The sequence below is a fragment of the Homo sapiens genome, chromosome 4 (assembly GCF_000001405.40).
Source record: "Homo sapiens chromosome 4, GRCh38.p14 Primary Assembly".
In the NCBI taxonomy this organism is placed as follows: domain Eukaryota; kingdom Metazoa; phylum Chordata; class Mammalia; order Primates; family Hominidae; genus Homo; species Homo sapiens.
Window position 1 is genome coordinate 51820567 of NC_000004.12, and position 26813 is coordinate 51847379.

At 42.3% G+C, this 26813-nt stretch overlaps 1 protein-coding gene across 20 annotated transcripts in view, besides 5 other annotated features; it reads left to right on the forward strand.

Moving 5' to 3' along the window:
- The first annotated feature begins 13317 nt into the window (after positions 1-13317).
- Positions 13318-26813, forward strand: part of DCUN1D4 (defective in cullin neddylation 1 domain containing 4) — an 82954-nt gene continuing 69458 nt past the window's right edge. For 7 of the 20 annotated variants that reach the window (XR_007096386.1, XM_047449873.1, XM_047449874.1 and 4 more), the window contains exon 1: positions 23013-23176. Coding sequence is in view for 8 of the 20 variants with exons in the window: in NM_001287755.1 (NP_001274684.1) it covers positions 23020-23176 (157 nt within the window). In the remaining 12 variants the exon portion in view is untranslated. Of the gene's footprint in view, positions 13337-22586; positions 22702-23005; positions 23177-23434; positions 23507-23677; positions 23778-23805; positions 23834-26813 lie in introns of those variants that run through there. The other 13 variants (XM_047449872.1, NM_001287757.2, NM_001040402.3 and 10 more) reach the window with 8 other exon arrangements.
- Positions 22315-22464: a silencer, noted in NCBI's record as "silent region_15416". NCBI's record gives its function as "represses an Ori minimal core promoter by ATAC-STARR-seq in GM12878 lymphoblastoid cells {active_cell/tissue: GM12878}" and the evidence as "EXISTENCE:reporter gene assay evidence [ECO:0000049][PMID:35858748]".
- Positions 22475-22524: a silencer, noted in NCBI's record as "silent region_15417". NCBI's record gives its function as "represses an Ori minimal core promoter by ATAC-STARR-seq in GM12878 lymphoblastoid cells {active_cell/tissue: GM12878}" and the evidence as "EXISTENCE:reporter gene assay evidence [ECO:0000049][PMID:35858748]".
- Positions 22615-22964: a silencer, noted in NCBI's record as "silent region_15418". NCBI's record gives its function as "represses an Ori minimal core promoter by ATAC-STARR-seq in GM12878 lymphoblastoid cells {active_cell/tissue: GM12878}" and the evidence as "EXISTENCE:reporter gene assay evidence [ECO:0000049][PMID:35858748]".
- Positions 23065-23144: a silencer, noted in NCBI's record as "silent region_15419". NCBI's record gives its function as "represses an Ori minimal core promoter by ATAC-STARR-seq in GM12878 lymphoblastoid cells {active_cell/tissue: GM12878}" and the evidence as "EXISTENCE:reporter gene assay evidence [ECO:0000049][PMID:35858748]".
- Positions 23695-23814: a silencer, noted in NCBI's record as "silent region_15420". NCBI's record gives its function as "represses an Ori minimal core promoter by ATAC-STARR-seq in GM12878 lymphoblastoid cells {active_cell/tissue: GM12878}" and the evidence as "EXISTENCE:reporter gene assay evidence [ECO:0000049][PMID:35858748]".

A 26813-nucleotide genomic window follows, 5' to 3' on the forward strand; every position in this document is an offset into this window, starting at 1 on the left:
AGAAAAAAACTATCTGCGAAAACACTTTGCAATGAGTGGACTCATCTCACAGATTTAAATTTTTCTGCTGACTCCGCAAGTTGGAAACACTTTTTTTGTAGAACCTGTGAAGGGACCCATGGGAGCCCATAGAGGTCTGTAGTAAAAAACTGAATATCCTGCCATAAAAACTAGAAAGAAGCTATCTGTGAAAATCCTTTGCAATGTGTGAAGAAATGAAATTGTTAAACCTTTCGTTTTATTCAGCAGGTTGGAAACACTCTTTTTGTAGAATCTGTGAAGAAATATTTGGGAGCCCTTTGTGGTCTATGGTGAAACACTGAATATCCCATGATAAAAACTTGAAAGAAGATAGCTGTGAAAACACTTTGCAATGTGTGAATAAATAAAACACAGTTAAACCTTTGTTTTGATTCAGCAGGTTGGAAATGCTCTTTTTATACAGTCTGCGAAGGAACATTTGAGAGCCCATTGAGGCCTGCAGTGAAAAACAAATATCCTGTGATAAAAACTTGCAAGAAGCTAGCTGTGAAAACACTTCACAATGTGCGAATAAATCAAACACAGTTAAACCTTTGTTTTGATTCAGCCGGTTGGAAACGCTCTTTTTATACAGTCTGCGAAGGAACATCTGGGAGCCCATTGAGGCCTGCAGTGAAAAACCAATATCCCGTGATAAAAACCACAAAGAAGGAATCTGTGAAAGTGCTGTATGATGTGTGGATTCATCTCACAGAGTTAAAACTTTCTTTTGATTCAGCAGGTTGGAAACACTCTTTTTGTAGAATCTGTGCAGGTACATTTGGGAGCCCATTGAGGCCTATGATGAAAAAATGAATATCCTGAGATAAAAACTAAAAGGAAGAAGATGTGAAAACGCTTTGTGATGGGTGGATTTATCTCACAGAGTTAAACCTATCTTTTGATTCAGCATGTTGGAAACACTCTTTTTGTAGAATCTATGAAGGGAAATTTGGGGACCCATTGAAACCTGTAGTGAAAAATCAAATATCTGCAATAAAAACTAGAAAGAAACTAACTGTGAAAACGTTTTGCAATGTATGAATTCATCTCACAGATTTAAACCTTTCCTTTGGTACAGCAGGTTGGAAACACTCTTTTTGTGGAAACCGTGAAGGGACATTTGGGAGCTTATTGATTCCTATAGTGAAAAACCAAATATCCGGTGATAAAAACTAGAAAGAATCTACCTGTGAAAATGCTTTGCAATGAGTGGATTCATCTCACATAGTTAAACCTTTCTGTTGATTCAACAGGTTGGAATCTTTTTGTAGAATGTGCAAAGGGATATTTGGGAGCCCATAGAGGCCTACAGTGAAAAATGGAATATTTTGCAATAAAAACTAGAAAGAAGCCATCTGTGAAAATGCTTTGCAATGTGTGGATAAATCAAACAGAGTTAAACCTTTCATTTGATTCAGCAGGTTGGAAACACTCTTTTTGTAGAATCTGCGAAGGGACATCTGGGAGCCTATTGAGTCCTACAGTAAAAAAACGAATATCCTGCAATAAAAACTAGAAAGTAGCTACCTGTGAAAATGCTTTGCTGTGTGTGGATTCAACTCACAGAGTTAAATCTTTCTTTTGATTCAGCTGGTTGGAAACACTCTTTTTCTAGAATCTGCAAAGGGACATTCGAGAGCCTATTGAAGCCTATAGTGAAAAACTGAATATCCCATGATAAAAACTAGAAGGAAGCTATCTGTGGAAACACTTTGTGATGTGTGGATTCACTTCATAGAGTCAAACATTTCTTTTGATTCAGTAGGTTGAAAATGTTCTTCTTGTAGAACCTGTGAAGGGACATTTGGGAACCCACTGGGGCCTACAGTGAAAAACTGAATATCCTGTGATAAAACTAGAAAGAAGCTATCTGTGAAAATGCTTTGTGATGTATGCACTCATCTCACTGAGTTAAAACTTTCTTTTGATTCAGCAGGTTGGAAACACTCTATTTGTAGAATCCGTGAAGGGACATTTGGGAGCCCTATGAGGCCTAGAATGAAAATCCAGTATCCCACAATAAAAACCAGAATGAAGCTATCTGTGAACATGCTTTGTGATGTGTTGATTCATCTCACAGAGTTATACCTTTCTTTTTATTCAGAAGGTTGAAAACACTCTTGTTGTAGAATCTAACAGGAGCATAGAGTCACGATGATAAATAAAATGGGCTTGAGATGTTAAAGACATGGGAGAAAGACTTTACAGATATCTTTGAGAGTGGATGAAATAGGATTGACAATTCAAATAAGACAATTGAGAATGATATCTTCTTCAAGATAAGCCAGTTGACAGAAGAGGAAGCAGAATGAACTGTATATCTAAAAATCACACACTTACACAACAATCATTCACTGGTATGCGAAACACAGTGGTAGGCATTTAGTTGAGAATTAAACAAAAGAGAAATAGTAGTAATATTTTCATGGGAGGGCACTTTATAATGTCTTGACACAGATATAAATTAGTAGGTTATTTATATCATAAATGCCTATGTTTTAATGCTTTACTATGTTTTTATTGAGGTGAAATTCACATAACATCAAATTAACCATTTTAAAGTAAACAATTCAATGTCATTTAGTATATTCACAATGTTGTACAATCACCTCCTCTATCTAGTTCCAAAACATTTTCATCACCCTACAATAAAACCCTGTGTCTGTTAAGCAGTTACACCCCACCCCTTCTGACAACTACCAATCCATTCTTTGTTTCTATGGATTTACTTGTTCTGAATGTATTATATAAATAGAATTATACAATATGTGACCATTTGTGTCTTGCTCCTTTCACTTAGCAAAATGTTTCCAAGGTTCATCCACATTGTAGCACGACTTCATTCCTTTTTATAGCTGATAATATTCCATTGCATGTATATATTACAATTTGTTTATTCATTCATCCATCCATGGACATTTGGGTTGTTTCTACCTTTTGGCAATTGTGAAAGTGCTGCTATTCATGTAAAAGTAATTGCTTGAGTGCCTGTTTTAAATTCTTTGGGGTATGTACCTAGGAGTGAAGTTGCTGGGTCAAATAGTAATTCTATGTTTAAATTTTAAAAGAAATCCCAAATTATTTCCCACAGTGGCTGAACCATTTTACATTCTCACCAGGAAGAGATGAGGCTTATAATTTCTTTACATCTTTACAAACACTTGTTATATTCTGTTTTTTCAATTATAACCATCTAAGTGGGTATAAAGTGGTATCTCCTTGTGGTTTTGATTTGCCTTCTCCTAATAATCAATAATTTTGGGCATCTTTTCACTTGCTTATTGTTTGTTTGTATATCTTTCTTAGATGAATGTCTATTCAATTCCTTTGTCCATTATAAAATCTTGTTGTCTCTTTGTTGATGAATTGTAAGAATTCTTTACGTATTCTGGATACCAGGTCCTTGTCGGATGTGATTTGTAAATATTTTCTCTCATGTGAATTGTATTTTTTCTAAATAAATTAGATAGATTTAAAATTATCTTTATATTAACTTCAATTTCACTCCCTTGTATTCTCATATTCTTGAGTGGAGACTTGGTTAGGGCCCTGTATACATAAAAACCTATGCTATATATATTGCAGCACTCCTGATCTTAATAAGTCTTTAGGAACAAGTTGCTCATGGGAACATAATTTTTTATGTGTATTATGACAGAAAAATGATTGAGAACCACTTTTTTAGACCAAGTGTCTAGATTCAAGAATAGGATTATGTCTTTCTTATTCCTGGGTACCAAAAACTGGTACAGAGGTATGAAATAATGGCAACGAAGGATACCAACTAACCTAACATGAATAGGAAGTCTCCTGTAATTAAAAAGATAGTGTTTGAATAGCCTTCAACACAGCCTGCTGACATTTCTATCAGAAGTTTAAAGTATTAAGGGAAACTACTTCTGTAAACTTAATGGCTTAAACTGCATTGTTTAAGACTGTTTTTTATTGCGTTAAGACTCTTAAATCCCAACCTAATGTACTAAGTTCTCAATTATTTCATATGGATGCAGTTTCATTCTTTCTGTCTCTTGGCTCTGCCCTCTGCTGGATTGACTCTCTTCTTAGACAGGTTTTCCTTTCTAAGGGCAAGATGGCTCAGGTAGCTCTTCCAGGTTTAATACAGAAGGAGAGATGGAGACTCGAGTACCTCAAATACATGCTGGCTCTGACTGACTTGACTTCAGTCATGTGCCTGTCACTGAACCAATTACAATGGCCAAAGAAATTCAATGAGCTCATTGACTTAGGCCTAGGTCTAAGAGGAATTACAGGGGCATATGATAACTCTATGTTTAAACTTTTGAAAAACTGTTTTTTAAAATTTAACTCTTATTTTAAGTTCAGAGGCACATGTGCAGGTTTGTTATATAGGTAGGTAAACTAGTGTCATGGGGGTTTGTTGTGCAGATCATTTCATCGCCCTGGTATTAAGCCTAGTACCCATTAGCCATTTTTCCCAGTCCTCTCCAACCTCCTACCCTCTACCCTTTGATAGGCCCCAATATATATTGTTCCCTTCTATGTGTCCATGTGTTCTCATCATTTAGCTCCCACTTCTAAGTGGGAAGATGTGGACTTTGGTTTTCTGTTCCTGCGTTAGTTCGCTAAGGATAATGGCCTCCAGTTCCATCCCTGTCCCTGCAAAAGACATGATCTCATTCTTCTTTTATGGCTGCACAGTATTCCATGTGTATATGTACCACATTTTTTTTATCCAGTCTACCATCGATGAGCATTTATGGTTGATTCCATGTCTTTGCTATTGTGAATAGTGCTGCAATGAATGTACACACACAGGTGTCTTTATGATAGAACGACTTAAATTCCTTTGGGTATATACCCAGTCATGGGATTGCTGGGTTGAATGATATTTCTGTTTCTAGGTATTTGAGGAATTGCCACACTGTCTTCACAATGGTTGAAGTAACTCACACTCCCACGAAGAGTGTATAAGCATTCCTTTTTCTCCACAACCTTGCCAGCATCTGTTATTTTTTAACTTTTAATAGTAACTATTATGACTGGGGTGAGATGGTATCTCATCGTGGTTTTGATTTGCCTTTCTCCAGTGATCAGTAACGTTGAGCTTTTTTTCATATTATTATTGGCCACGTGTATGTCTTCTTTCAAAGTGTCTATTTATGTCCTTTGCCCACTTTTTAATGGGTTTGTTTGTTTTTCTTTTCCTTGTAAATTTAAGATCTTTATAGATGCTGTATATTAGACCTTTGTCAGATGCACAGTTTGCAAATGTTTTCTCCCATTCTGTAGGTTGTCTGTTCACTCTGTTGATCACTGCCTTTGCTGTGCAGAAGTTATGTAGTTTAATTAGATCCCACTTGTCAATTTTTTCTTGTGTTGCATTGCTTTTGGTGTCTTTGTCAAGAAATCTTTTCCCATTCTTAGGTTCAGAATAGTATTGCCTAGGTTATGTTCCAGAGTTTTTATAGTTTGGGTTTTACATTTAAGTCTTTAATCCATCTTGTGTTAATTTTTGTATATGGTGTAAGGAAGGGGTCAAATTTCAATCCTCTGCATATGGCTAGCTAGTTACCCCAGCACCATGTATTGAATAGAGAATCCTCCCCTCATTGCTTATTTTTGTTGAAAATCAGATAGTTGTAGGTATGCAACCTTATTTCTGTGTTCTCTATTCTGTTCCCTTGGTCTATGTGTCTGTTTTTGTACCACTACCATAATATTTTGGTTACTGTAGGCCTGTCGCATAGTTTGAAGTCAGGTAGTGTGATAATTCCAGCTTTGTTCTTTTTGTGTGAATTTCCTTGGCTACTCAGGCTCTTTTTTAGTTCCATATGAATTTAAAAATATTATAGTTTTTTTCTACTTCTGTGAAGAATGTCAATGGTAATTTAATAGGAATGGTATTGAATCTATAAATTGCTTTGGGTAGTATGGCCATTTTAGTGATATTGATTCTTCCCATTCATGAGCTTGGAATGTTTTTCCATTTGTTTATGTAATCTCTGATTTCTTTGAGCAGTATTTTGTAATTCTCATCGTAGAGATCCTTCACCTCTCTAGTTAGCTGTATTCCTAGGTATTTTACTTTTGTGTGGCAGTTGTGAATAGGATTGCATTTCAGAGTTGGATCTCAGCTTGACTGTTGTTGATATGTAGGAATGCTTGAGGTTTTTGCACAATGATTTTGCATGCTGGGACTTTGCTGAAGTTCTTTATCAGCTTAAGGAGCTTTTGGGCTGAGACCATGGGGTTTTCTAGATATACAGTTATGTCATCTGCAAATAGGGATAATCTGACTTCCTCTGTTTCTATTTGGATGCCATTTATTTCTTTCCCTTGCCTGATTTCCTTGGCCAGGACTTCTAATACTGTGTTGAATAGGAATGGCGAGAGAGGGCATCCCCATCTTATGCTGGGCTTCAAGAGGAATGTTTCCAGCGTTTGTCCATTCAATATGATATTGGCTGTGGGTTTGCATAGATGGCTCTTATTATTTTGAGGTATGTTCCTTCGATACCTAGTTAATTGAGAGTTTCTACCCTGAAAGGTGTTGAATTTTATTGAAAGCCTTTTCTGCATCCATTGAGATAATCATTGGTTTTTGTCTTTAGTTCTGTTTATGTGATGAATCACATTTACTGATTAATGTATGTTGAACCATTCTTGCATCCTGGAGATGAAGCCTACTTGATGATGGTGGGTAAGTTTTATGATGCGCTGCTGGATTCAGCCTGCCAGTATTTTGTTGAGGATTTTTGCATCGATCTTCATCAAGAATATTGGTCAGAAGTTTTCTTTTTTGTTGTGTTTCAGCCAGGTTTTGGTATCAGGATGATGCTAGCCTCATAGAATGGGTTAGGGAAGAGTTTTTCCTGCTCAATTTTTTGGAATAGATTTAGAAAGAATGATACCAGCTCTTCTTTGTAAATATGGTAGAATTCAGCTGTGAATCTGTCTGGTTATGGGCTTTTATTCGTTGGTAGGCTATTTATTACTGACCCAATTTCAGAGCTCATTACTGGTCTGTCCAGGGATTCAATTTCTTCCTGGTTCAGTCTTGGGAGGGTCTATGTGCCAGGAATTTATCAATTTCTTCTAGATTTTTCTAGTTTATGTGCATAGAGATCTTCATAATATTCTCTAATGGTTGTTTGTATTTCTGTGGGGTCAGTGGTAATATCCCCCTTATTGTTTCTGATTGTGTTTATCTGAACCTTCTCTCTTTTCTTCTTTATTAGTCTAGCTAGTGGTCTAGTTTATTAATTTCTTTCAAAAAACCAGCTCCTGGATTCACTGATCTTTTGAATGGTTTTCCGTTTCTCAATCTCCTTCAGTTCAGCTCTGATTTTGGTTCATTCTTTTCTTCTGCCAGTTTTGGAATTTGTTTGCTCTTGGTTCTCTAGCTCTTTCAGTTGTGATGTTAGGTTTTCAACTTGAGATCTTTTAAGCTTTTTGATGTGGGCATTTAGTGCTATAAATTTTCCTTGTAACACTGCCTTACATGTGTCCCAGAGATTCTGGTATGTTGTAGCTTTGTGCTCATAGTTTCAAAGAACTTCTTGATTTCTGTCTTAATTCCATTATTTACTCAGAAGTTATTCAGGAGCATGTTATTCAATTTCCATGTAATTATATGGTTTTGAATGAATTTCTTAGTCTTGATTTCTAATTTCATTGCACTGTGGTCTCAAATAGTAGTTATTATTTCAATTCTTTTGCATTTGCTGAGAAATGTTTTCTGCCCAATTATGTGATTAATTTTAGAGTATGAGCCATGTGACTGAGAGAAGAATTCATATTCTATTGCTTTTGGGTGGAGAGTTCTGTCGATGTCTATCAGGGTCCATTTGATCCAGTGCTGAGTTCAGGTCCTGAATATCCTTGTTAATTTTCTGTCATGATGAGTTGTCTAATATTGTCTATGGGGTATTGAAGTCTTCTACTACTGTTGTGTGGGAGTCTTAGTCTTTTTGTAGGTTTCTAAGAACTTGCTTTATGAATCTCAGTACTCCTGAGTTGGGTGAATATATATTTTGTATAGTTATATCTTCTTGTTGAATTGAACTCTTTGTCATCATGTAACGGCCTTGTCTTTTTTGATCTTTTGAAAAATTGCTTTCTAAAGCTGCTTTATCATTTTACATTTTCACTAGCAGTGTATAAGGGTTCCAATTTCTCCCAGATGTGTTGGCCTGTAACACTTTTGCCAAGACCTGTTATCATTTGTCTTTTGATTAGAGCCATCCTAGTAAGTATGAAAGGGTGTCCCACTGAGGTTTTGAATTGCACTTTCCTAATAAGTAAGATACTGGGAAACTTTTCATATGCTTATTGGACATTTGTGTATATTTTTTGGAGAAGTGTTTATTCAGGTCCTTTGCCCATTTTGAAATTGAGCTAGTTGTCTTTCTAAAGTTGAGGTGTGAGAGTTCTTTATATGTTCATAATACCAATACCTTGCAAGATATATGATTTGCAAACATTTTCTCTCATTCTGTGCATGGCCTTTTTACTTTCCTCATGGTGTCCTTAGAAGCACAAAAGTTTTTAATTTTGATGAAGTTCGGTTTATCTGTATATTTTGTGTCACTTGTGCTTTTGGTATTATATCTAAGAAACCATTGCCTATTCCAAGTTCACAAAAAAATGTATGCCTACGTTTTCTTATAAGCCTTTATTTACAGTTTTAGCTCGTACACTGAAGTCAATGATCCATTTTGAGTTATTTTTTGTATATGGTGTGAGGTAGCAAGGCAAATTTATCCTTTTGCCTGTGGATATCCAGTTGTCCCAGCACTGGTTATTGAAAAGACTATTCTTTCTCTGATGAATTGTTTTGGCAGCCTTGTCAAAAATCAATCAACCATAAATGCTTACATTTTTATTTCTGTGCTCTGAGTCTTATCTTATTGATCTACATGTCTATCATTATGCTAGTAACACGTCATCTTGATTACTGTAGATTTGTAGTAAGTTTTAAAATCTGAAAGTGTGAGCTTCCAAATTTGTTGTTATTTTTCAATATTGTTTTGCCTTTTCAGGGTTCCTTGAATTTCTATACATGACTTTTTATCTGTTTTGCTAATTGCTGTATCCCTAGAGTCTAGCACAGTGCTTGGTACATAGCAAGTGCTCAACAAGTATTGTTAAAACAAATGAATGCATTGTCATAAAATAACAATAACAATTACAAAGTGACATCTTTAAAAAAATTTCCTGCTTAGCATTTCTTTCCTCTATTCTTCTGGAAACAGCCTCATGCCTTCTTTGGAGTACTGCCCCTTCTTTACTAACTTTATGTTGTTCCTTTGGGGCTCCCAATCATAGTACCCAATGGCCCCAGAAGAAGTTATATGATTCAGTCCTGGCCAATTCTATTCCATCCCCTGCTGTGCCATAGGCTTAGATATACGCACATGATTTAAGCCCTGCCAATCAAGATCCTGAGATCACACATTTTAAAGAGTGACCCTAAACTGCAAGATAATATATCCTTACCAAAATGAGAAGTGTGTGAAACCACACACACAAAAAAACTCAAAACCACCATCACAACCAAAACAAGTCAAAACATACATAGAAGTGGAAACAAGACAGTGAGAGGAATCCCTTTGTGTTCCGGTTCCTAGATCAAGTTGACCCTGAGACTAGATTGTGTCTGCTGAACTTGGCAAGATTCTTGGTTGCACACAACAAAAGTGACTCTGGTTAACTTATACAGATGATTCATTTAGTGGGAGAGCACTGGGGAGTTCATAGAAAGCATGGAAAGTTTGAAAACCCTAGCTTATGCAAGAACCAAGCAGTTTAGAGCATAATTTAAGTCCTGCCACAGAGATGGGTCACTTAGGATGCTGCCACTGGCACCAGGCCAGTGCTCCAGACACTTCCTGCATAATGCTGGACTCTGCTGCTTCTGAATTCTCTGTGTTGCTGTTAGACTCTCAACTTTGCTGGAGTCAAGTGACGATCTCTAATACACTCTTGTACCTTTGCACCACGTTGTAAAAGTGAAAAGTCCTGGGCAAGAGTATCTGCTTTTTGTTTTACATGATCCCAGGCAAGCCACTGGGGCCCCTCTCTCAATGTCAGGGCCAGTGCTCAATAAATAAGTTTTCTTCTATTAGCATACCTGTTTTGCTTTGTTTTGATTACTCCTTTTTTACCTAAGCTATACAGGTTGAACTTTTATCATTTATAACAAAAGTGATCTGACTAAAGGAAACAAAAATAATAGTGAAAGCCACAACAACTTATGAAATTTTATCAGGTACCTGAATAAGTGTTTTACATGCCGTATTAATTTCTTATGACTGCTATAACAAATTACCGCAAATTTTAGTGGCTCAAAACAGCACATATTCATTGTCTTACAGTTCTTGAATCAGAACCCCAAAATGGCTCTCATGGGATTAAATCCAGGTGTTGTCAGGGCTGTGTTCCTTCTGGAGGCTCTAGGGGAAATCTGTTTCCTTGCCCTGTTCAGTTTCTAGAGGTCACCACGTTCCTTGGCTCTTGGCTCCTGGCTCCTTCCAGCAATCGCCTTACTCTGACTTTATCACATCTTCTTCTCTGATTCCTTCCTTCACTTCTAAGGACACTTGTGATTGCATGAGGCCCACAGTGAGAATCCAGGATAACCTCCCCAGCTCAGGGTCCTTAATCACATCTACAGTCTCCTTTGCCATTATCCTGTCTTTCGCATTATGCATTGTCTGTTTGAGTCCCCACAACAGGCCTGTGAGGCAGGTGGCGCCATTGGGCCATTTTAGAGACAGAAAATCTTGCCTGGAAAGGCCATATAACAATGTCCTCTGTTGGGTGGAAGAGCCAAGATCAAACCTTGGCTATTTCATTGCAAAATGTAGGTGTACCATCTTTTTGCAACCCCCACCACCCGGTTTCAATAGATTTGCTGGTTCTATAGTCTTGGGGGAGAAAGTGTGAACAGAATCTGATGGAAGCATTGTCTTCATGTTTATCCTCTTATGAGATGAATTGTGAAAAGAATGAAAGATACTCTCGAAACCCTTGGGTCCCAAGATTCTGGGAAGAATAGCAACCTAATTCTATGATTCTTATGCCCAAATATCGGTTTATTCAGCAGCCTCTGTAGGTCAGCCTGGGTCTCAGCCAATAGAGTCCGGCTTATTAAAAAGGGACATGAGTCTCAAACACCAGCTCAAATACCAGCCTTTTTAACAAAAAGCTTCAAACACCAGCTTCTTTAACAAAACTAATAGCAATGGTGGTGGCAGCAGCAGCAACAGCATGAGATGCGATAAGAAGCTGAAATTCTTCAGGCCCTGGAGTTGCAGGGGAAGGATATGCCGCAAAGAGTGATTGCCTTTAATCTAAGAATAATACAGAGACCAATGGGAAAGCAGACTGTTGTTGGATGACAAAACCACAGAGGATTTCAAGTTGCCTGACACCTCTAGACAGGGCCCTAGTGGATATTAAGCACAGAGTGAAAGTCATCTTTAACATTCAGCAATAGACTTTCAGATCTGGAAAACACCTTAACCTAAAGGTGGCCCACTGGCACTCAACATACTGAGACAGAATAAAAGCTGCAGACTCTTTTCCTCATGAAATCAACCACTCTAGCTATCCATAGACAAATTCTAGAGTCATCAGACTCAAATCAGAGTCATCTACTAACATAAGTATAAGCCCGAGACTGCGTATAGAAATAGTACCAGTAGAAACCTGTGGATGAATTTGGAGGGTGATGAGAGAAGTACAGAAAAGCCAACCTATCCCTCAGTACTTCACCACATCGTCCAGCCATGGTGGATGAAATGACTACTAGCAAAGAATTTGTCAAATCTTGATTTGTGAAATGTTTATTGAGCTTCTATTATCTGCTAGAGACAGTGCTAAATCATCAACAATAGAGTTCTTGCCCTAAAGGAGAGCAAGTCATACAGAGTAGAAGTTTCTATCATGGAAGGAAGGGGTCTGGTAGAGATAATGGAGGCTCCCTGGACTTGGGAGGAAAGAGAGTTGGACAAGTTTTGCTCTATGAGCTGTGACTTTCCTGGTTTCAACGGACAGAAACCTAACTTGAACTACAGAGGGGGATGGATTGCCATGAGACCAATGCCCTGGAAGGCCAGAGAATTGGCCAGGCCTTGGGAGTGATTGAAACCAGGGGCTAGAAAGTCATCATCAAGACAAGGCCATTGCATAGGCTGTTCCCTGTGTCTGGAAAGCTCTTTCCTCCAACTTAGTTTATCTTTTGCTCATTGTTCATGTGATTCCAGTCACCTCCTCAGTGAAGCCTCCCCCTCCTACCACTCAACTCCCTGACTGGATCACACCCAGATTCCTGGCTGTTCCACTCAAGTGTTTGGGGCAAATTAGAAAAAGGTGATCCCTTTGGCTAGACAGTGCCAGTATGTGAAAAACAGAGTGCCCCTTTTTCTGAGCAAACACAGCTTCTCGCCAGGGCTCTTGGCTTGATGAGCAGAGTATGACATTTCAGCCCACTTGGCCCCTTGGCTCATGCTGTTTTGTGCAGTGCACAAATTGCACAACTGTATACAGCAACTGAGCCAGATTCCATAGCTCTCAAAAAAATCTGTGCACTTTTTCATCTCACTACTTGTTAAAATGGTAGTTTTACTTTGCTTACATGATTATTTAAGGCAAGCCCCATGAGGGCAGCAACTGGGTCCATTCTTGCTCAATGTATAATGCCTAGAGCCCAGGACAGTGTCTGACACATTGAAGGCCCTGGATAAATAATGGTTGTTTCATGAATGAAATGAATATGCAAGGAAATGAGTGTTTCTGCCTATTTCTCTTAGACTAGCTTTTTCTATGAGGTGGGAGCCATGGTTACTGGTAGCTATGAGCTCACAGCCAGAGAAGGCTGCTTCTCCTTAATTCTAATTTTTAGAATTCCAGGGAAGGATGTTCATTGGTCCAGCTGAGATCACATGCTCTCTGGGAGTGGGAGTCTCCCTGACTGGCAACCCCTATTAAAACTTTGTTGCATAAATGGTGGAGTAAACAGTTTCCCAATAGATGAAGGAGTCCTTCTCAGCCAAAGACAGGAGGGCTAAACAGAAACAACTCCAGATGTCCCCCAAACAGCCCACTGATGCCCACAGGCTGGCCACTTCTGTGTCTTCCTTTCCTCACCTGTGAAAGGGGAGAATGTGCTGAGCTCACCTCTGAGATTATCTAGCCCCAAGATTCCATTCCCTTTTGTTCTGGTTCTGGTTCTGGTTCTCCTGCAAAATTCTGTTCTAGTGCTGGAGGCAGTAAGCGGAAAAAGACATGACTGTGGGGAGCCTCAGTCAAGGAAGGCTTAATGGAGGTGAGCTTTAAGCTGTGGCATCAAGGTGGATGAGGATTTGTATACCAAGAGTAGAAGGGGGGAGATTTTGCAGAGTGGGAGCCTGGCTTGGGGAAGTATTTTAGGTTTTGGTGTTGAGCCATTTGTTTGTTAGGAGTCTTTCTCTCTCTCTCTCTCTCTCTCTCTCTCTCTCTCTCTCTCTCTCTTTTCTTTTCTTCTTTCTTTTTTTTTTCTTTTTTTTTTTTTTGCTGTAAATCTGTTTGCAAGGGGTAATATCTTAACTCATCTATATTTCTCCCCTAACCGAGAACAGCAAGCCAATCATCCACAAGGATCTGAGGGAATGAGACGTTGGAAAAGCAAGTTTTGATAAGGGCAAGTTAATCAAAATAGGTCCTAAATACAAACATGTCTAGGGTGTCTGAATTAGGCTGATTCCCTTGGGGTCTATACTTCGTATGTGTGCTGGGGGTTTTGGGGGTGGTAGTTTGTGCTCCAGTAGCACAAACTGAGAGTGCTTCAGGGAGGCAGGGAAGAAAGAAGCATCTCCATTTCATGATGCTGAAAGGACATGAGGCTTTTACACACCCGACTGGCCCTATACCCTTCCCTAGATCATTAAAATAGAATAATCTTGGCACTAGTCTATTCTCCTTCTGAGTCTTCAGGCTCCTTCTCCACGGCTTTCCTCAAGGATGTTGTTCAAGCTCTTTTTAATCTTCTTCAGCCTATTCACAAGTTTAGGGAACAAAGAGTGAGGTTTGCCTTTACTCGCTGAGAATGGGCCTTGTCCCGAAAATGGGAGCAGTCTGTCCAGGAGGGCCACCCACCAAGAGCCATGGTCAGAGGCCCTGGGCACCCGGGACAGGAAGCTGGAAAGGGGAGCAGAGGCTCCCAAAGAGGATGTGGGAGAATGGGAGCAAATGACGCACGTCTGATCCATGCACAATGGCAATCCTTTAAAGTCGCATTGCTTGTAACTACACTCTGCTACTTAGGGACCTACTCTTACATATGCCAACTTGTGGTCCTGTTTCCAGATCCTCTAATCTGCTTATCAAGGAAAAGAATAAAGGCCCATACCCTGATATTGGGGAAACTGTGTTTCATGTTGCCTGTAATGGTGGGCAGAGAGAATACAGGAGATTTGCCTTGGACTCCAAAGACTATGCTAGGTGTTTACTGATGCTAGGAAAAAAAGCACAGCTTTCACATTAAAGAATTTGGAATCTGTGTTGGGGATGCAGGTAGCGGGTGGGCAAGCAGCCCTCTGTAAAATGTTATCAAAGAGGCAACATAGCACAGTGAGTAAAAATACCAATCTGAAGCTCATCTGCTAGGATTTCATTCTCTGACTTCCATCACTTACTAGCTGTGTGTCTTTGAGAAAGTTACTTTACCTCTCTGTGCTTCAGTGTTTTCACCCATAAAGTGGGTTTTACAAAAATGTCTACCTCTTGGGATTGTTGGGAAGATTAATGACTTAACATGAGTACTTGAGACAGTACCTGCTACAAAGTCAGTGGTACTTAAAATGTTTGCCAATATTTCTATTCCCCAATCTGTTATCTGTGGATTTGAAATGTTTCTCAAAGCTAAAGCTATAAAATGTGAATGGAGGTTTAGGAACCACTGAGGTTGTGGTGATGGTGCTTTGAAGCCAGAAAAAGTGCTTGTGAGATGGAAGAGTAAAGAATAAGAGAGAAGCTATTGTGGGGGCCCAAGGCTGGACTTGTAGGCTAAGACTAGCCTGTGGGGTGGGGACAGGGCAGCTGGGAGGTCTGGGGCATTTCTGGGGCTTGAGGAGCTGCTTGGGGCCTCGGGTTGAGGGTGAGGGAATGCCATGATGAGATGAGAGAGATGGCAAAGGAAGACTGTGGGTGGGGGTACCTGTGTCTGGGTGTGGGTGGCCTCACAAGAAGCAGTTCTGACTAGACCCCTGTTTGGAGCTGGAATTGGGTAAAATTTCGAAAGAGATGAAATCTATTCTTGGCATTTCATCTCCAAGAGCTCTTCTCCTCTCTTGCTTCATGTAAAGTACCTTCCCACTGCCTTAAAATACTGGCCCCCCAAGCCAAGCCTTCCTCCTCCCACTGCTCCACAGCCTGAAACTGTTCACTTAACCCACCAGCCCCCTAACAGAATTCCCATCATTTGAGTGCAGGCTCAGATGTCAACCAGACTCGGGAGGAAAGCTAACAGAGTGGAACTAATCTCTCACTAACAAAATTACTGAGAGCCATGGATTGTTCCCTAAAGCCCCTGGCTTTTAAAAATAAAATACTTGTTAACTTGAATGTTTAATCTAGGAATTCTTAACTCAGGAGCTGGTGGGGTAGCATGAGTGGGTTGCAGGCCTTTGATAATCATCACTGTGAATGATTAGTAAAAGGGGTCTGTGACCCCTAAAATGTTAAGGACCATTTGCTTTAACCTGTCTTAGCTGAGGCAGTGTAACAAAGTAAAATGTAAGCATTCGGGTTAGTTGGAAATAAATATTTTTCAATGGGGTAAGCTAGTGGTTTGCATGTGTTTGTGTGCGTGCCTGCAGATGAACATATGTGTGTGTGTCCAAATTTATTTCTTTTTCAATTTTGGAACCATAGATTTTTCTTCAGTGCTTGGATTCATTGCTTTCCTCCCACCAACATAGCCCCTGTGGTAGATTCAACTGGGGGTTCAGATCTGAGTGTTGGGCAGAACGGGGTGGCTGAGGCGGCTGTAACCCGGTTGTAGGGTCTGGAATCTGCTTAATCATGGGTTTTTGACATACTTCATGCTCTTCCCCACTAGGACAGGAAGTTCTTACTTCCATAACACATTATCATCACCAAGGAAGTGAGCACATATTTTCCACAGCTCCCATCCTCCTCTTCCCTCCCCCATTTCCTATTGCTGTCTGCCTTCCCCATCCACTCTCCCAGAATGCTTCACTTTGCCATAATGAGATGCTCAGCTGCCATGCAGCCACCAACAACCGGAGATGGATGGGGTCTCCTGTACTGCCCTGAGAGGGATGTTAGAAAGACACTGTATTCATGGTAGCAGGCTAGAGAAGGCAAGGAGAAATTAAGAGCCTGACAATACACAGAAGCCATTATCCAAATAAAATGATTATTCTTTCTGTCCAGCCCCTGCTAGCTGGAGTAATTGAAACAATGCTATATTTATGAAAAACACCATAAAGGTCATGCATTGTTTAGACTCAGTTGGAAAATTGCACCTTCTGAGATCAAATTTAATGCAGCATCATTAGGACTTGATTAGCTCAATGCAGAATAAGGTGAAAGTACTCAATTCAGAGAAGAACATGTGGTAATGAATGAATACATTTTTATTCAAATACTTTGTTAATTCCCTAGGCAGGTGTGATTTCCATAAAATAAAAGGTCCTGAGTAAAAAGGAAAAGAGTCAGTTTAAGAATTCTATGGCTGTACTGGAATAAAATATTAGCAAAAAGACTTGCTAATGCTACCCTGATAGTGATGTGTTAAGAAATCTTAGGCCGGGCGCGGTGGCTCACGCCTGTAATCCCAGCACTTTGGGAGGCCGAGGCGGGCGGATCACGAGGTCAGGAGATCGAGACCACGGTGAAACCCCGTCTCTACTAAAAATACAAAGAATTAGCCGGGCGCAGTGGCGGGCGCCTGTAGTCCCAACTACTCGGGAGGCTGAGGCAGGAGAATGGCGTGAACCCGGAAGGCGGAGCTTGCAGTGAGCGGAGATCGCGCCACAGCACTCCCGCCTGGGCGACAGAACGAGACTCCGTCTCAAAAAAAAAAAAAAAAAAAAAAAAAAAAAAAGAAATCTTAGAAGTTAGAAATAATTTACAAATAAATGATATTTTCTCTATATCCAGGAGAGGCAAAAAAAAATCATTGCTAAACGAAATTAAAACTGAAACACAGATGTCAAATATAATTGGAAAATTCTTAGCTTTTCTGAGAGATTTCTAAGATGGCTCCTTCATGAGGAAAGATATCAGGATTTTCTAGAAAATTTAAAAGTATAGGGCCAGGCACTATTGCTCATACCTGCAATCCCAGCACTTTGAGAGGCTTGAGGCGGGCAGATCACTTGAAGTCAGGAGTTAGAGACCAGCCTGACCAACATGGTGAAAACCTGTCTCTACTAAAAATACAAAATTAGCCGGGCATGGTGGCACACGCATGTAGTCCCAGCTACACGATGAGCCACAAGAATCACTTGAACTCAGGAGATGGAGATTGCAGTGAGCCAAGATCATGCCACTGCACTCCAGCCTGGGTTCTCAGTGATATATCGAAGTCGAGAATTTATAACATTCAGCAGAGCTTCATTAGACACTCTGAATAAATAATCTCATTTGCTGTGGGGATAAGGTCAAAAGGGTAAAATAAATAAGAATTTAGTAACCTGGATGTAATCCTTCTGACCCATACTTTTCATTATATAGATCTATAAAAGGAGCCTGAGTGGCTAGATGTTCATCCCTAAAAAGAGGCCTGGTTTCACTTTATTTATTTATTTATTTATTTGAGGCAGGGTCTCATTCTGTCACCAAGGCTGGAGTGCAGTGGCGTGATCTCAGCTCACTGCAGCCTCCACCCATAGGGCTCAAGGGATCCTCCCACCTCAGCCACCTGAGTAGCTAGGATTACAGGCAGCTGCCACCACACCCAGATAATTTTGCATTTTTTTGTAGAGATAGGGTCTCCCTGTGTTGGCCCAGACTGGTATCAAACTCTTGGGCTCAAGTGATCCACCCACCTCAGCCTCCGAAAGTGCTGGGGTTTCAGGCATGAGCCACCATGCCCAGCCTGATTTCACTATCTTTTGAGAGCATGTTAACAACCATATTATTGTATCCTTATAAATAATCTCTGAGGTATATAGGGGCATATATTAACCTGATTAAAAAGAGAAGGAACTGGCCAGGTGCGGTGGCTCATGCCTGTAATCTCAGCACTTTGGGAACTGAGGCGGGCAGATCACCTGAGGTCAGGAGTTTGAGACCATCCTGGCCAACATGGCAAAACCCCGTCTCTACTAAAAACACAACAATTAGTCGGGTGTGGTGGCGTGTGCCTGTAATCCCAGCTACTTGAGAGGCTGAGGCAGGAGAATCACTTGAACCCAGGAGGCAGAGGTTGCCGTGAATGGAGATCCCACCACTGCACTCCAGCCTGGGCGACAGAGTGAGACTCCGTCTCAAAAGAGACAGAGAGAGAGAGAGAAAAGGAAGGAAGAAGGGAAGGAGAGAAGGAGGGAATGAGGGAGGGAAGGAAGGAAGGAAGGAAGGAGAAGGAAGGAAGGAAGAAAGGAGAAGGAAGGAAGGAAGGAAGGAAGGAGGGAAGGAAAGAAAGAAAGAAAGAAAAGAAGGAAAGGAAGAAAGAAAGAAAGAAACTAAAGCCCAACACAGGAATATTAAAAACATGGAGTCTGGCTACTTAGGGGCACGTTTACTTATTAGCTGGGTGGCAAGTTACCGAAGCTCTTGAAGCTTCAGTTAACTTACCTGTAGATTGGGGATACTATTAGTTATTAGTACTCCACTGTGTTGTTGTGAAGTTAAGTAGATTAGTTTACCAGTACAGTACTATTAGAGTAGTGCCCGTCACATAGGAAGCATTAAGAAAGAAGTTGTTATCACTTGGGACAGCAAATTCAGTTGGTCATATTTGGAGAAAGAAAACTATCCTGCCCTCTATGGATAAATTCTCCTTTCGGAGGGGGTTTATTTTCATTTCCAAATACTAGAAACCCACCTAGCCTGACATTTTATTACTAAAGGAGTTCTGCCAACTCTCTCACTGTAATCTAAGGCCAAATTAATTCCTCTCTGTCCTGTGTTCTTTCTTATTCTCTTTAAATCTTACCAGGGACACATTTATCTGTCTGTGCAGGCCCAACTTATTTTCAGTCTCAAGAACTATGCTATTCTTCCTCCTACTCCCAATCCCAACACATGCAGGAAAAGCATGCTACAGTGGGCTTAGCAGAATTTAGGGGAAAGCGTAACATTTGATTGAAGAGCTCTGCTGTTTTTTTTCTCTTACTAGACTTCTCCATATCACATTCTAATCTAGGCTTAGGGCATTTCAAAATATATCTGATTAAAATTAATATTGTATGACTAATAAAATAGAAAAATTCCAATTAAATTAGGTATCATTAACATGGAGTAACTTGCTTCAATATTACCTTAAAGCAGTAACTGGGTGAAATGAAATGGCATAAAGACTGCATCTCCAAATATCTCTACCCATCACAGTCCCAAGATATTCAATTATTAATTTTTTTCTCCAGGGATTCAAATATAAATGTACAGAAGTATAACATTATTATCTCAGTAAACCTCTCCATGGGGATCATGTTCTTTGGGAATACTACAAATGAGAAAAAAAAAAGTGAAGTATTGATTTACATATTGAAAAAAATCCTGAATGAAATACATAAAAAAGAAGGCAACATTTCAACCATGAAGCAGACTTGTATTAGATTGGCATAGTAACTTTCAGATGGGAAGGGAGAGTAGTTTACCTATCTTTGGAATTTGAAGCTTTGATATTAGACAGTGTGGTACAGGGGATAGAGTTGAGAAACCTGAATTTAAGCCCTGTTTTGTTATCAACTAGCCAAGTGACTCAGATTAAACATTTAACTCCTTTGGATGTCAAGTCTCTTATTTTTAAAATGAAGATGTTGGATTTGATAATCACCAAGGTTCCTATCCAGATCTAAAATTTCATGTACGGTAAACATTCATTTTAAGGGGTATGGTTAACCAGTGCCTACCACAATATTTGAAAGCATTGTACTAGGTGCTAGGCAAGTAAAAAGATAACTATAACAAGTTTCCTGATATCAGAGGTTTATATGGTGTGGATTATTTAAATGACCAGGTAATATTTGCAGAGCATTATGTAGTCATTTTATTATACTTTGTAAAACGTGGGGGCAGTGAGGGTCAGCCGACTAGGAATGAGCTTTGCCTCTCAATCCTTAGGCTATAGCTGACTCTTTATAAAGATCTGGGTAAATTACCTCTAAGTCTGTTTTCTACTTGAAAATAATCATACTGACTCAACTGAAAGCAATGTTGAGAAATAACAGAGGTTGTACATTCTATAAATTTTTATGGACACCATGCATATGCCAGGCCAGTGTTGGGAGCTGGGGCAAAGCAGCCGACCCATCCTTCATCTAGCTTAACTCTTATACACATTATTATAAAGTATGCTGCAAATAAATTAATAGAGCAAATGACTAGCTATAATTAATTGTGGGCTTATTGTAATTTAGAGGTGTCACGAAGGAAGCCCTTTTCTGTGCAAAATAACATGTGTCTCAGTCTTTGAAGTACCATGGTAAACGGTAAAAAAAAAAATCATAAATATTACACACACAAAAGATTTGAAACTTGTATTAAATGACATATAATTTATTATTTCCTAGATGTAGATTAAGCTGAAACATAAATAGAATAAAGAATGCAGGAGCAGCTTCCCTGCTCAGAGTAAGGGCGGATATTCTTACTGCTAGATCTGCCCAACAAGCAATCCCCTATCTCAGAGTCCAGAGGTACCTACCCATCACTGTGGGGCCCCGCTGAGGTACTGTCATGATAAAGGTGATCAATAAGGATGTTCTATGAGAGATTCTTGTCTTGCGAAAGAACCTGAAGCAAATAATAAATAACTTCAGGTACAGTTCTGAGATTCCATAAAGTGATTCATAAATGTTTGAATGATAAAAATATTATATAAATAGTATTATAAGGATGTAATTTATTAAAGAGAAATTAGCGATTAAGATGGAGGGAGCATTTTACCATGGGAGTGCTGTGGGACACAGAAACTGGTTTGTCTGAGCCCCTTCCAAATAGCATAACATTTGTGTCCTGATTTAAAATCTAAATTTCAGAGCCTGGAAACCCAAAAGCCTGGGCTGTAGAAATCTAAAACCAAAAAGACCGTGCGTTCTGTTACCTGTGATTTGTGGTGTCACCTACTCTTTGAGGCTCCCAGATGGCCCAGGGCCTTAGGATATGGGGATGCCTTGTAGGTGTGTTGTTGTTGGAGTTGGTGGCTGGGATGAGGGTGGAGGCAGGGTAGGGTGGGGGTGGGTTGGGGTGGGGGGAATCCTCCGTTAATATCTCGAAATATTGTTCTGTTACCATAATGCGGTGTGATAAGTTAGCTTCAAGTATTGAAAAATCAGGGCAGGACTCATGGAAATGGTGCGAATTCTTGACTTAGGGTCAGAAGAATTCACCAAAATTAACGTCTCCCTCTGCCAAATAACAGCCAGTTTCAATTTCTGGACGGCCTCTCCGCGGGAGTGACAGGTTTTCTTAGATGCCGCCGGGGGTCTTTCACGGGCTGGTGGTCTGCCCCCTGGACTCGTCCATGTGTTAGGCTCAGTCCGCAGCTCAGAGCGCGGCCCTGTATTTCTGTCTGATGTCTGGGGCATACAGATGTGTGTGACGGACAATGCTCGTGGCATTCGAAGCCTCTTTAACAGACATTAGTGACTAGAGGAAAGAAGTGTGCGAACTCTGCGAAACAAGTATGCGGACTCTGGAAAAGAAGTACATTTCGAAAGTGGGGAGAGGATGGATCTTCGTAGGAGAAATGGAAATTTGCTCCCCACCAGAAGGTTTGCTGGAAATTAAGACGCGGCAATTCTTAATCCAGTTTCCTGCGGTAGGAAGCAGCTGACAAGAGAAGTCCCAGTCCGAGTTCGGCGCGAACTGGACAAGTGTCGTGGGACAAGTGGCGGGAGACCCGGCCGCGTCGCGCCGGGCGCTAGGGACGGACGCATTTCCCTACTTCCAGCAGCTGGTACGAGCCGCCCCCAACTGCGCTGCGCTGCTCTATTCTTTGGGAAACACTTCGCGTGCTTTGTTTCAGACGCCGACCCATCTTTCTTGGTGGGTCTCCAGCTCCACCAATCCCGCCCGCCACTGGGCGGGGTTTCAGGGTCAAGGTGGACCAATTTCCCAGCTTCGCCCCTACACGCGCTCTCGGACCCCTGGGGGTGACTGACAGCAGCCGGGCCCAACCCGCTGCTCCGGAGCATGGCCTCCGCCAGGGGCGTTACGGAGACAAGGCCCCAGGACCAATCGTATTGGCCAGTGGGGGGCGGGGCCTCGTTGCCAGCTCCAGACCGGCGCTATGGGCACTCCTTTTGTCAAATGAGAGACGCAGCAGGGCGGCCCCTGAGCCGCGGTTTAGCCAATGGAGAAGGCGAGATGGGCGGGCTGGGAGTGCCCGGCGGCGGGTCCTCAGCTTCGAGCCGAGGTGCAGTGAGCTGGTGGGGGGACCGCGAGGCGAGCGCGGGAGCCTGGGCGGCGAGCCGGGTGTGAGCTGCCTGAAAATGCACTCGGATGCCGCCGCTGTCAGTGAGTAGCAGAGAGCCAGCCAGCGGGCCGGGGCCGGGCGGCTGCCAAACTCGCCACTCGGCTCCCGCAGTCCCCGCCCCACGCCTCGGGTCCCGAAACGCGCCGGGAGCCCCTGCCTGGGAACCACCCCTTCCCCTCCCGGGGCCGGGGCGGGCGGTGACGCTGCGGGCGGCGTGGGGCGGGGGCGGGCGTGGGGGGAAGGGACCGGCCTGCGGGGAGGGCGGAGGTGAGGGGGGTGGGGACTGGCTCTCTTTCAGTGTTGGGGGAAGGGAGGGCTGGACGTGCGATGAAGGGCCGAGATCGGAGTGTCCGGGGTGCATGGAGGTGGAGGCAGCGTTGGGCTGTAGCGGGCAGGGCCGGGGATGTGGGGGGGTGGCACCGGCGGGGAGAGGGAGGGAGCGAGCGAGCGAGCGGGGCACAAGGGTGAGGATTTCCAAAGGGCTGAGTGGTGCGGGCGGCTCCGTGAGAAAGGCGGGTGAGTGCGAGGGGGGCGCGGGGGCGGGGACAATGGGAAGAAGGGCTGGTTGGCGGGGGGGTGGGGGGGGGGCGGCGAACAATGGGGTGGGGGAATGGGGGCAGCGGCCGAGCGGGGCAGGAGGGCGGGCGACTGGACGAGGGCTGATGTAACGGGAAAGCGAGGTGGTGGGAGGGACTGGGGTGTAATGGTAGTTGGGGAGTCCTGCGGGGCGGGAGGGGCGTTGGAAGGGCGGTGGGTAACGGAGAGTGGTGGGAGTGGAAGATGTTGGGGTAAAGAGATGGGGCAGGTGTGGAAGGGTAGGGCGATTGGGAGGAAGAGGAGAAAAAGGTGGGTAGGATTTGGGGTGGCAGAGTGGGGGCAGGGGTGGAGAATATGAAATGGGGGTGAGGAGCTAGTCGGGGAGGAAGGGGAGGTGGGGCGGAGTTGGGCAGGAGGACTGTCACGTCCAGATTCGGTCCGGAGCCGGGCTAAGGGGGTGTCAGACTGTGCTTAGGGGAGGTACTTCCTCTCCCTGTCGAGGCAGGGTCCCTTGAAGGGGGGAGTCCAAGCTTCGGGGTGCGGAGAGAGGAGGGGGCGGGGCTGAGGTGGAGGAGACGGGGTAAGTGCCCTAAGGTTGGAACTGGCCGTGGTTCCCCCCGGACGGCGGGAAGCGAGGTCAGCGCTGGCGCGGGCTCCGGCAGCGGGACTAGGAGGCGGGGCAGGGGTGCGGGCTGCGGGGTTTCAGCAGCGGGAGCCGGAGGGGTCGGGCCCTGATGGCCGGGTCGGGGGCTTGGCGCCGGGGAGGTGTCGGGGTCCCTGGCAGTCCGTGGGTTTGATAGTCTGTGACGCAGTTGTCTAATTTCTGGCTATCAGGTGTGGGGGTTGGTGCCATGGAACCCGCTTCCTTAGAGGGATGGCCGGGCCCTAGGCCGCGCCCCACGCCCGGGGGGCGCGACTTCTCCCAGGCGTGCTGGGAGGGCGCTTGAGGGGTTTCCTTTAGGGTTTGTCTCCAGTCAACGGGTATGAAGGGGAAAGGCGGTCCCGCCGAATTCTGGGACTTGTAGTCGCGGCCGCGCCCGGCCGCGGTTGGGTTGGGTGCACGTGGGTAACTGTGGAAACGGGTCCCGGCATGCAGCGCGCCCTTGGAGCCTTCCTGCTCGGCCAACTCGTGCTTTATTCCCCGGCCAGCTCCTGCGCGCTCTCGGGAGGCGGTTGAGTTCCCAGGGACGGAGCGACTCCCCAGCCCTTCTCCCTTGGGAGAGGGAGAGCCCACGCCAGGCGCAGCCCTCTTCACGCTTAGGTTCTTGGTCCCCAAGTGAATTTCCCCCTGCATTTTGTGGCCTTACTTGTGGAATAAATGCTTGGTCTTGTACCATCATGCGCACGGGTTGTGGGAAAACATTTAAGAAGCAACACAATGTAAAGCAGCCTTTAGAATGGTGTATTTAATTTTGGCATCCAGTGTGTGTAAGCACTGGGTTCCAGCATTCCCTTGCATAAATATGAGAACACAGTGGAGGTACACGTAACCCTTGTAACGATAATATAAACTATGTGTTGGTATTTCTTGGGGTGTTTGAAAAAATAACTGTCTTGAAATGAGTGATGGAGGTGGGTTAGTGGAATTTAGGGTGGAAATGTGAAGGTGAGCAAAGGTAATATGTGACGTCTTCAATTTTCGAAGAAGCTTGGAAAGCAAATGAGAATAGAAGAAAACTGTAAAAAGTGGAGAACCATAAGACTTTTTTTGTTTGCTTGTTTTATTATTAGCTGCAGGCTGCAATTCCTTCTCTCCTTAATACTAGAAACCTTCCTCTCCATAAGTAGACTCCCTAAACGTCACATCCTTCACCAGTTCCCTTTACTGTTTACAGGGAAGGGACTCCAGAATCTGTAATGTAGAAGGCTAAGATTAATGCAGAGATGATAGATTTTTGTATGTAATATATAAGGTATTATGAAACTACTTGCAACATAGTCATTAGAAGAATATTGTAATTTTTCTGATGATAAAAATATTACCAAGAAGTCCTAAGATTTGTAAACCTTTTGGTGTGGTTACAAACATACTGAACTTGGATACTTGATTGTTTGATGGTTCTTTTCATGATGAGTGAAAAATTGGGCAATGTGTGTGGTGTTCTTGTGGAGATCATTTATATCTATCTGTCATATTTTACTTAATCGTGTGGTGAAATATCCAGGAAACTCTTGGTAATATAAAAATATGTACAAAAATGTGCACTTAACTCTGGAATTTTTTCTTGCAGAGGGTAAAGTGATGAGGTTGAAAAACATGCAAGAGCTATAATTGTCTTCAAAATGGTGTTTTTAAAGAAAATATGAAGCTAGTCATAGCTTTCTCTTTTTCTTTTGTTCTATTATATCCCAAAGGGCAGGTGCTTTTTATACACATATAGCCCACCTCCCTCCATTCCCCAAAGCCCTAGGCTCCTACACACTTTCTGCTCTGGTTTTTAGGTTCCTTTTTGATTTTTGGCGCTTGGGGAGGTCCTTTATTTTCTTGTGAACGTAGCTGTGCATTTAAACAGATGTTTCTTACACGTTATCCAGAATTTTTGACTGTTTTATATTAAGAAGGATTTTTAGGTAATCTTGTCTGTAACATTGCCAGAAAAGAAGGCCTGCCTCATTTTCTCTTAGTGGACTTCACTCTCTTCTTCCTCTGTTGTTAACTCTGTGTACCCCTACTGGCACTTAATCATGTTTTTTCAAACTTTATCATTGTCTCCTTTTCTGTTTTTATGTTAAGTTGCTCCCAGCAGCTCTTCTTGGCTTATTACCTTCTTCCTGGCTACGTTTACATTATTATCTCAATCATCATCTGCTAATTATAACTAATAATTAATAGCTAATAATCCTGCTAACTTAGCAGTATAAAAATCAACCTGTGAGAAACTGACCTCATGATGATCTCTTGTATCAGTTAGGATGCCTTTGCCAATACAATGCTCAAATTAATGGCTTAAATAATAGGGCTTATTATTGTTCGGTAGCAAGAAACCTAGAAGTAGTTGGTTCTAAAGCTGGTGCAGTGGCTTAATGATGTCATTAAGGATCTAGGTTCTGCATCTTTTTCTTCTTCTATTAGTGTTTTAGCTTTTATTCCTCAGGCTCATTTGCCTCATGTTTGCAGTATGGTTGCCGTAGCACCAGACATCATGCCTGGATTGGAAAGCAGGGAAGGAAGGTGCATATTTCCTTATAACTCCCTGTTAACAGAGAAGTCTTTTGCAGAAACTCACTTTGGAGAGTTCCATTTCAGTGTCATTGGATTGAACTGATCTCATGCCACTGCTAGCTGTGAGGAAGCCTGACACAGTGAATGTCTGGCATTTACCAGCATCTCTTGTAAGATATGGCCTTTCGTAGGGTGGAAGAAGGGTGAGAAGAATGCGCTGGGTTGGCAACTTGCAGGTTATATCCCTGAACCAGCTACTTTGGCCAGCTGTCTCTGGCTTGGTCTCAACCTTTACGTTGATTTATTTTCTGCCTTATTCTAAAAGAATTAGGGGTGACTTGCTAAATATAGATAAAACCCTGTCAAGAGAAGAAAAATTTATATATAGACTTGTAAGGTACACAGAAACACTTGCCATATGTTAGAAATATTTGGCACTGAGCTTTTTAATAG